The sequence below is a fragment of the Homo sapiens genome, chromosome 21 (genome assembly GCF_000001405.40).
Source record: "Homo sapiens chromosome 21, GRCh38.p14 Primary Assembly".
Classification (NCBI taxonomy): domain Eukaryota; kingdom Metazoa; phylum Chordata; class Mammalia; order Primates; family Hominidae; genus Homo; species Homo sapiens.
This window is the reverse complement of record NC_000021.9, coordinates 30,205,343-30,216,367: the sequence shown is the minus strand read 5'-3', so window position 1 is coordinate 30,216,367 and position 11,025 is coordinate 30,205,343. Positions and strand designations below refer to the sequence as shown.

The 11,025-nt window shown below is 38.3% G+C and overlaps 1 protein-coding gene and 1 long non-coding RNA gene across 2 annotated transcripts; both read left to right on the top strand.

The window, feature by feature from the left end:
- CLDN8 (claudin 8) lies at positions 271 to 2,362 on the top strand. The gene has a single exon (NM_199328.3). It carries the CDS (start codon positions 443 to 445, stop codon positions 1,118 to 1,120), a length of 678 nt encoding a protein of 225 aa, NP_955360.1. The 5' UTR covers positions 271 to 442; the 3' UTR covers positions 1,121 to 2,362.
- Positions 4,585 to 7,217, top strand: LINC00307 (long intergenic non-protein coding RNA 307). Its single transcript, NR_038855.1, has 3 exons — positions 4,585 to 4,634; positions 6,443 to 6,630; positions 7,032 to 7,217. It is a non-coding gene; the product is annotated as a long intergenic non-protein coding RNA 307 (long non-coding RNA).
- Positions 7,218 to 11,025: the final 3,808 nt, after the last annotated feature.

The following is an 11,025-nucleotide window of genomic DNA, read 5'->3' as shown; positions in this document are numbered from 1 at the left end:
GCACCTTTCACATTACAAGGGATCGGCTCATTTCTTGATGCTTATGCAACCACTTATAACTATGCCTACAGGTAAACATACTGCTGTCTTCTTGGAAGACCGAGAAGTATAAAGAATGTTTATGTGCAGGTCTAGCTGTTCCAAGTACCCAAGTGTTGGTTTAGACACACCTGGATTACCATCCACCTTTTATTGGCTGAGAAAGTTGCCACACCTGATTTGTAAGTTTACCTGTTGCAGCCAATAGCAGGGCCATCTCAGCCAGCCAGCACTGGATACTATCTGGCCAGAAGTAGCAAAGCAGCTCTTATTTGAAAAACCACTGGGTTCCGAGTTCATTACTACAGGAAAAACTGTTCTCTTCTGTGGCACAGAGAACCCTGCTTCAAAGCAGAAGTAGCAGTTCCGGAGTCCAGCTGGCTAAAACTCATCCCAGAGGATAATGGCAACCCATGCCTTAGAAATCGCTGGGCTGTTTCTTGGTGGTGTTGGAATGGTGGGCACAGTGGCTGTCACTGTCATGCCTCAGTGGAGAGTGTCGGCCTTCATTGAAAACAACATCGTGGTTTTTGAAAACTTCTGGGAAGGACTGTGGATGAATTGCGTGAGGCAGGCTAACATCAGGATGCAGTGCAAAATCTATGATTCCCTGCTGGCTCTTTCTCCGGACCTACAGGCAGCCAGAGGACTGATGTGTGCTGCTTCCGTGATGTCCTTCTTGGCTTTCATGATGGCCATCCTTGGCATGAAATGCACCAGGTGCACGGGGGACAATGAGAAGGTGAAGGCTCACATTCTGCTGACGGCTGGAATCATCTTCATCATCACGGGCATGGTGGTGCTCATCCCTGTGAGCTGGGTTGCCAATGCCATCATCAGAGATTTCTATAACTCAATAGTGAATGTTGCCCAAAAACGTGAGCTTGGAGAAGCTCTCTACTTAGGATGGACCACGGCACTGGTGCTGATTGTTGGAGGAGCTCTGTTCTGCTGCGTTTTTTGTTGCAACGAAAAGAGCAGTAGCTACAGATACTCGATACCTTCCCATCGCACAACCCAAAAAAGTTATCACACCGGAAAGAAGTCACCGAGCGTCTACTCCAGAAGTCAGTATGTGTAGTTGTGTATGTTTTTTTAACTTTACTATAAAGCCATGCAAATGACAAAAATCTATATTACTTTCTCAAAATGGACCCCAAAGAAACTTTGATTTACTGTTCTTAACTGCCTAATCTTAATTACAGGAACTGTGCATCAGCTATTTATGATTCTATAAGCTATTTCAGCAGAATGAGATATTAAACCCAATGCTTTGATTGTTCTAGAAAGTATAGTAATTTGTTTTCTAAGGTGGTTCAAGCATCTACTCTTTTTATCATTTACTTCAAAATGACATTGCTAAAGACTGCATTATTTTACTACTGTAATTTCTCCACGACATAGCATTATGTACATAGATGAGTGTAACATTTATATCTCACATAGAGACATGCTTATATGGTTTTATTTAAAATGAAATGCCAGTCCATTACACTGAATAAATAGAACTCAACTATTGCTTTTCAGGGAAATCATGGATAGGGTTGAAGAAGGTTACTATTAATTGTTTAAAAACAGCTTAGGGATTAATGTCCTCCATTTATAATGAAGATTAAAATGAAGGCTTTAATCAGCATTGTAAAGGAAATTGAATGGCTTTCTGATATGCTGTTTTTTAGCCTAGGAGTTAGAAATCCTAACTTCTTTATCCTCTTCTCCCAGAGGCTTTTTTTTTCTTGTGTATTAAATTAACATTTTTAAAAAGCAGATATTTTGTCAAGGGGCTTTGCATTCAAACTGCTTTTCCAGGGCTATACTCAGAAGAAAGATAAAAGTGTGATCTAAGAAAAAGTGATGGTTTTAGGAAAGTGAAAATATTTTTGTTTTTGTATTTGAAGAAGAATGATGCATTTTGACAAGAAATCATATATGTATGGATATATTTTAATAAGTATTTGAGTACAGACTTTGAGGTTTCATCAATATAAATAAAAGAGCAGAAAAATATGTCTTGGTTTTCATTTGCTTACCAAAAAAACAACAACAAAAAAAGTTGTCCTTTGAGAACTTCACCTGCTCCTATGTGGGTACCTGAGTCAAAATTGTCATTTTTGTTCTGTGAAAAATAAATTTCCTTCTTGTACCATTTCTGTTTAGTTTTACTAAAATCTGTAAATACTGTATTTTTCTGTTTATTCCAAATTTGATGAAACTGACAATCCAATTTGAAAGTTTGTGTCGACGTCTGTCTAGCTTAAATGAATGTGTTCTATTTGCTTTATACATTTATATTAATAAATTGTACATTTTTCTAATTATTTGACATTCTTTCACAAGTCTCCTTTTGTTTCTGTTTTATTAACTTGTAGAAGAATGTTGAAAAGCCTGATAATTTTTTATTCTCCAAATTGAGAAAGAATGTCAAGATTTGCCTTGTAAAGACAAACAGTGCATTAATTTTTGAAAATATAAAGTACTCTATGTTATTTATGTTATTTAACAACAATATACCTTATAATCATTGGATCCCTATACCAATATTCAATGCAGATAATATATTTATAATTTAAGATAGTACTATAAATTCAAGCAAATCTATATGTTATAAATATTATGTATATAACAGCCAGGTTTGAAAAATTTTCTGTAGCTAAATATATATTTCTACTTCTGAGAAATAATAAATAATATTGTCTAATGTTCTGGGGGCATGTATTACATGCTAGGACCTCTACTGCTTATATGAATTGTTATTAAATCTTTTATGAGACTGATAATGTTATTAGTTCAATTCAAAGATGAGGCTATCTCAGAACAATTCATTGATTACTCAATAGAATCAGGAGATTTATAAAAAGGCTGCCTGGACTCATAGCTCAACACTCTTTCTCTCAAGGAAAGTGAATTATTTTTTCAGCAATGTCTAGTTTAAACACGAATTTTTATATGTTAAAATGACACACTTAACTACCATGAGTTGGGAAAACTTTTAGTTGTCTTTTTTTTTTGTAAATTTTTTTAGTTGAGACAGAGTCTCACTCTGTCACCCAGGCCAGAATGCAGTGGTGCAATCTTGGCTCACTGCAACCTCCACTGCCTGGGTTCAAGCGATTCTCCTGCCTCAGCCTCCTGTGTAGCTGGGATTACAGGCATGTGCCACCACCCCCAGCAATTCCTTTTTTCCATATTGGTGATTCTCTTATACCCAAGTGCTCATTCATCCTAGGCAATTTTGCTTTTTCAGGTCAAAACATTCGTAAAAGGAAAAATACAGCAAAAATAACTGAGCACCTTGGAGAAGAAATCCATAGGCCCCATCTTCTAAATACCAGTCTCTAATCAACTATTTTTTCTTTTACCTAGAAAGCCCTTTAAATGTCCCAAACTCAATTTATTATTTCTCTCCTCTTTTCTCTAAAACAGAATAACACATCTAGTTTTTATTATGGCATCACTTCGAGTATCTGAAATCTTTCTACAACTTTCCACCTTTACTATCTGCTCATCTCTTATCTACATAATTGGAAAAGACTTCTAGACTTGTGTCATTGTCTGCAGAGTCTTTTCCCAACAGCTGTCATCTATACTTTTATCTTAGTTGTTTCTAAAACGCAAGTCAAGTCCCATCACGGCCTGCCCATAAGCTCGGTAAGGACATCCCATTGCCTATAAGGAAAGTCCAAATGCCTTCGCATACGCTAACTGACGGGAAGGAAAAATTATCTTACAATTTTCAAGGTAAATTTTATCAGACAGTTTAACATCAGTGTATAACCAGTATAATAACAATTATAAAGTTAATGTCCCCAAATTAGCGTAATTAACATGGCACAGGCCTCTTTAATATTCTGAAAGAGATACATTGACAACTACAAAATGATTCAATTGGTGGCAAATTGCATGCAATAGAAAGTTTTATAATGTATTTGCATGGAAAAAAATCATGTGATGGAAAGGACAGGGGAGGCACAGGAAGTGATGTTAAGTATTCACATTGTAGCTAGTTGGTTTTATGACTTGAAGCAAATTTTAGAATCCAATGTATCTCACTGTAATTATCTATTATTTTCCAATTGTCAGATAGAATAATAGGCCATAAGGTCCGATGGGATTATAATAGGGTATAATATTCATTGTGTTAGTGAATTTGGAACATTAAATGTGTTGCAACAATGAAAGGCAATATATATAGTAAAAAGAGGACCAACTTTTGAAAGAGTCAAATGAGAGAATCATTCCATACACACCCCCAAGCAGCGAATTTAGAAAAGTTCATTAGCCCCTCAGACTCAATCTCTTCTCATTCATATAATGAAGGTAGGATTACTGCAGGAAAGAAGTATATAAAGTAACTAGCCCAATGCTAGAGTGAAGAAATAGTGGATCACTTCTCTTTGTATAATATTCCTCCTTAAAATTCCTTGGAGTTGTGTGTAAAATATGCACATCAATAAAATAAGCAAAAATAGAGAATAAAATATTAAAATAATAATTTTTCCACATCAGGTATTCATTGTGAATCTTACCAACAGGTTATTTTATGATTAATTATATAGCCCTGGGAAATGGATCTTCAACTGAATTAAGGAAAAGAGGTAATTTCATAATTTTACCATTAATACAGAAAGCAAAAACATTAGTATGCTTATATCTTTTTTTCGTAGTAAGATTTAGATAACTGTTTTAGGATATGCATTTAAAATATTTTCCATTTATTTTTCTAATCCATTGGTCCAAACTTTAATCACTAATGTTATTTACAGCACACAAAATTTCCAGATGTTTTGAAAATGTTGTGTTCTAGAGGGCTTCTAAATACTTATCTCGTTGACTGCTCAAAAATAACAGTATGCCTTAGTGTGTAGAAGATTCCATTTAAAAAATAAAAAATAAAAAATGTGATGATTCCTTAAGCTATTAGCTTTTGATAATTGTTTCCTCTCATATAGGAACATTAGTTAAGTACCCATTACATTTTCCAAAATGTTTTAACCTTGCCAAAACATTTATGTCTTGGATAAGCATAATACCATTTCATCCAGAAATAGTATGTTGTAGAGATTTGGAGCCCAGGAATGAAGGAAGGCAGCTGTGTTCAAATCCCAGCTGTGTCACTTATTCCTGTGTGGTCTTAGGCAAATTACTTAACCTCCTAATGTCTCGTGGTCCTCATCTGTAAAATGGGAGTCAAAATTGTGCCTGAGTTCTAGGGTTGCTGTCAAGATTCACTGAGTTGATATACATCAAGTCCTTAGCACAATACTGGGCAAATAATGAATTAGATATCAATCTTGCCTATTCTAGCTACTTTTCAAACCAAATAGAATAATAATATTTTCTTCTTTTTCATACTGTACCACTTGTTGCTCTCACCATGACCCCCCTTCTGCTAATTCTGTATCCAAAATGGCAGTCTCATGCATCGTGAAACAGTTATTAAGCTACAGTACTGTAAGTGCTAGAGAATCCAGGATGGACAAGACAGTTTTTGCTTTCAAGGCATTTACAACTAACAAGAAGAGACAAGAGCGAGGAATGTAGCTGAACTGCATGCCCACCCATGTTTTTGGTGTTTTTCTTTCTTTACCTCATTGATCCTTTAAAAATTCTGTGAATTAGATATTAAATTATAAGAACACAGAGTCTCAATGAAGTAACATGCATATATAAATACACACACATATCTTATATTATCTCATTGACATTAAGTACCTTGAATTAGAATTAGGGAGACTATATATATATATATATATATATATATATATACCTTGAATTAGAATTAGGGAGACTATATATATATATATATATGTACCTTGAATTAGAATTAGGGAGACTATATATATATATATATATATATATATGTACCTTGAATTAGAATTAGGGAGACTATATATATATATATATATATATATATATGTACCTTGAATTAGAATTAGGGAGACTATATATATATATATATATATATATATATATGTACCTTGAATTAGAATTAGGGAGACTATATATATATATATATATATATATATATATATATATATATATATATATACACATACGTACCTTGAATTACAATTAGGGAGACTATATATATATATATATATATATATATGTACCTTGAATTAGAATTAGGGAGACTATATATATATATATTCTCTGTGATTAATATGTGTATAATATATGTCTCAAGTCTTCCCTGTGATTCACTGGTCACAGCATTTTTTCTCCCTGAACACTAAAGTGACCTCCTCATCCATCTTTGCTACATTTTGACTCCCTTCTCATTCCCCTCTTAACCTCTAGATGATTTACTGCTTTTAGTGCCTGACATCTATTACCTTCTCCTGTGGGATAACATTCTATTTTTTTGGACTCCAATTGTAGGCCTTGTATTTCCATTCACCAGGCCTCCTTCCTTGTCCTGAGAAGGACTTCCCTGTCAGTATCCCTGCAACCCCCTCCTCTCAACTGTGATCCAACTGCTGAAACAAAGCCAAATTGCTGCCGAGGCCCAGCAGGCAGAGGCTGGAAGCTTTCTGAGACGTTTCAGGCGCTGCCACCTTCCGGGAAGAAAGAGAAGCATTGTGTTCAATGGTGAGTCTAAGAAGAAGGAGGGGATTCCTGGTGTAGAGGCTCAAGGCCAGGCCTGAATGTCTGCTCGGAGTGAGAGGGTGGGAGAGAAACTCAGGCCCTCCTTGCTTCACAAGTAACCCTGGAAGGAGGGAAGGCTTTGTTCACCTGTCTCAGGGGGATAACCTCGGGGCCAGAAAACCCTTGGGAGACTTATTCATAGGCTGGGTTCCTACTTAGCCTGGGGCCTTGGAGACTGTAAGACCAGAGAGTGAGGACACTGGACAGCTGGGAGTGCGGAGGCTGCTTACCAGGTTCCCAGTAGTCAGATAGCAACTTTAAGGTCACTAGGTCACCACGTACAGCAAGAATTCCTGCCACTCCAGGATTGGCTATTGCTGATGGTAGCAACTTGACTTCCACAGGGGAAAAGATCCTGAAATTATGTAAGGGAACACCAAATAGGACCCAGCAAGTAAAAAAGTGAAGGAAACTACTTCCAATATGGCAAAGTTGATCCTCAAATTCAGAACTATTCTTTCCCAGCCCTGCAGACAAGTTCAACATCTTAAGCATGGGAAAACAAACCAGATAAACAAAACCACAAAACATCGAATGGCCTAGCCTTCTTTTTCCTTCTGGTCTTCTGTCATGGGCCCTGTGGTGCCCATATTCTGGTCTGGTCAGACTCCATGTTACTTCTTTGCCATTCAGAAATTCTGTCCTTCAGGCATTTGATCACCGGCAATGCCCTTGTCATCCTTTATTGTCGGGGTGGTTGAATCCCGGCCTCTGCTTGACCTCTTTCTTCCTGGCTGCACCCACGCATCTTCCCCTGTGCCACACCACGCTGTGTTAGCTCAGTCCTGCTGTGAGACAGAAGTGTGTCAACCACCCCACGCTCCTTCTGGGAAAGAGATTTACCCTACACTATTGCTCTCTGAGCTTCCTTCGTGTCCTTCAAATCACCATGTATTGTATATCTCCCCCACACCTACTTATATACGCCTATGGGTAGCTAACTCTTCATAGCTATATGGGGATCCTCTTTGAAGAGCAACTCTAATTTATTAGATGCTCATTGCACATTGCTAAACCCACTCCCTGCCCCTTTCCTAACTGCCTGCCTCCTTCTTTTCTTTCTTTCTTTCTTTCTTTCTTTCTTTCTTTCTTTCTTTCTTTCTTTCTTTCGTTCTTTCTTTCTTTTTCTTTCTTTCGTTCTTTCTTTCTTTCCTTTCTCTCTCTCTTTCCTTCCTTCTTTCTTTCTTTCCCTCCCTCCCTCCCTTCCTTCATTCCTTCCTTCCTTCCCTCCTTTCTCTTTCTTTCCCCCAGGTTGGAGGGCAGTTGGTGCAATCATAGCTCACTGCATCCCCAACCTCTCGGGCTCAAGCAACCCTTCCACCTCAGCCTCCCAAGTGTCTGGGACTATAGGCTGGAGCCACCACGCCCAGCTATTTTTAATTTTTTTTTAGAGATGAGGTCTCCCTATGCTGCCCAGGCTAATCTCAAAAGCAATCGTCCTGCCTCGGCCTCCCAATCTGCTGGGATTACCAGTATGAGCCACAGTGCCTGGCTGATTCCTTTTCAAATGCCAATAAAGTGCATATGAAAATGCTGAAAACTAAAAGAACCTTTTAGAAAAATAAAAAATATCAGAGTTGAGCATTTTCCTGATTCAGGGAAGAATTTATATAACCTTTCTTACCCAGTGGGCTAAAATAAAATAATAATTGGCATTTGTTATTTAACTTTTTTTAAAAGATAGAATAAATTTTATTAACACAGGCATTGAGCAAACAACCCCAATCCATCTCCATACTCAGCTTTTTCCCTCTTGCTTGGTTTTTCTGATACCCATCCCCCTCCTCCCCACCAGTCTCTATGGTTATTAAATTGGTTGTCTACGGTTGCCTCTCTCTTTACTGATCTCTCTATTTTGCACTTGAGTTGTTGAAACCCTCCTGAGACGGAAGGAGGTCTGTGATTGAAGATCTTTTTCCTTTGTTTTTAATCTGCAACCTGGTAGAAATACATTTGTGTGAGCATCACAAATGAATCTTTTCCCCTATTTTTTTTCTGAATTGGGCTACTTTTTTATGTTGCTTTTTTAATTTTTGATATGAAAGTAGATATTTTTTCGTGGCTACATGGAGATCCTCTTTGAAAAAGAAACTGTATTTTATTAGATATTAAAGTTAAAAAAATACTTTGGAAATCAAACTGCTCTCCAGCTTTAAAGCTGAGAAACCCTCAGAGGAAAAGGAAGCCTATCCTCCTGGTTCAACTGCAGCCCGCCCTGAATCTTAATACAGTGCTCTTTTACTTTTATTAAAGGAAGAAAAAAGAAAAAAAAACATGACTCAGCATTGTGCCCTGCTCTGACTATGATACTGTATTCACAGGGTTAACAAGAACTACATGTCAGGTTCTGAACAGAAATACAGTTATAATTAAGCATTCATCAGTCTGCCCTTTGGCCCATTTCCTTGTAACTAAAAGCCACATAGCACCAGATACGGACGATTTGCATGCCCACTGTTTCCATAGATAGGATTTCCAAAGTTAGAATCATAAGGCTTTTGTTTAAGAATTGTTCAAGATGTTCTTCAGATCCTGGATGCCAGCAGAAGCCTGACGCTACCAGTTTGAAGAGCCCCAGAGAAGAATGAAATCAGGATGATAATGCAGTTTCTTCCTCTCCCCGCCCCAAGACTTCATTCTGCACTCTGCCACCAATCACGGATCCCACATTTCTGCCCACTCCTAGCTCCTTAAAACCTCCAGCCCCATACTCCTTGGAGAGGAGGATTTGAGGTTTCCTCCCTTCTCATATGATTATTAGACTCTGTCTGCCGCAATCTCTGGTATCTCACTCAGTATATTAACTTGCTGTGCATTGAGCCAATGAACCCACAATGGCTGAAATCTTTACTTGCTGTATAACACAAAATCTCAAAACTTGGTGACTCAAAACACGGACTGTTTTTAGATATTATTTCATGGGATAGGAATTTAGGCAGGGCTCAGCTGGCCTGTAGCATCCTCTTCAGTTAGTAGCTAGTGTATAAAGTGTCAACAGTTTTCCTCACTGCCTGGTGCCTTGGCAATGATTCCCCTATATGTGGTCTTATGGCCTCTCCACCTTATCTTTTCACCAAGGGAGTTTGTCAGCAGAATAGCTGAGAGCTTTAAGAATCCAAAGGGGGAAAAATACGAGTCACTTTCACCATATGCAATTGGTCAAAGACAGTCCCAGGTCAAGGAGAAGAAAAACAGGCCCCTCTTCTCAATGGAAAGACCACCAACGATTTTGGAACCATCTTTGGTCCATTCCAGGCTTACAGTACAGTTGTTAAGAACTTAAAGGGAACACAAGGAAGGGGAACATCACACACCGGGGCCTGTGGTGGGGTGGGGGGAGGGGGGAGGGGGGAGGGATAGCATTAGGAGATATACCTAATGTTAAATGACAAGTTAATGGGTGCCGCACACCAACATGGCACATGTATACATATGTAACAAACCTGCACGTTGTGCACATGTACCCTAAAACTTAAAGTATTAAAAAACAACAACAACAACAACAAAAACAACTTAAAGGGAAATTTTTCTTTCACATACACTTATTCCTTGAAACATAGACATGATATAAAAGGTGTGTTTTGGGCCAGGCATGGTGGCTTACACCTGTAATCCCAGCACTTTGGGAGGCCGAGATGGGTGGATCACCTGAGGTCAGGAGTTCGAGACCAGCCTGGCCAAGATGGTGAAACCCCATCTCTACTAAAAATACAAAAATTAGCTGGATGTGGTGGCAGGTGCCTGTAGTCCCAGCTACTCGGGAGGCTGAAGGAGGAGAATCATTTGAACCCGGGAGGCAGAGGTTGCAGTGAGCTGAGATCATGCCACTGCATTCCAGCGTGGTGACAGAGAGAGACTCCTTATAAAAAAAAAAAAAAAAGAAAAAGTCAGACCTTTCGTCAGTTTTATGACCCAGGAATATCTTTCTCAAGGACCTGGGCCATCTCTTCCTAATGTAAATGTGAAGGGAGACAGCATCCCTAACCCTATCTCCCGGTTTCTGGGGAAGGCTAGGAGCCTAACTTCAGTGGACATCTGCTCCAATTTGCAAAATAACTCATGTCATAAAGACATAGAAAATTTGTTTCTCCTCTGGATGAAGCTAATTAGCTGACACAGATGGTCACTCCAATTACCAGGTGAATTTAGGATGGACTTTGTGTGACAAATGGTGCCAAGTTCTCTTACTTGAGAACTAGGTATTGTTTATCTTGAACACATGTATATAACGGTTGCTTCTGCATGGCTATGCAAAAAGGTAAGGTTTGTTTCTGTCTTTTCAATCTCTGAGCAGATTGCTTGTGGTGTGCACCACATTCTAGTTTAATGCTTATTCAA

What these genes read in the sequence shown, in the direction of transcription:
- CLDN8 (NM_199328.3), top strand. Translation starts at nt 443, where the DNA reads ATGGCAACCCATGCCTTAGAAATCGCTGGGCTGTTTCTTGGTGGTGTT.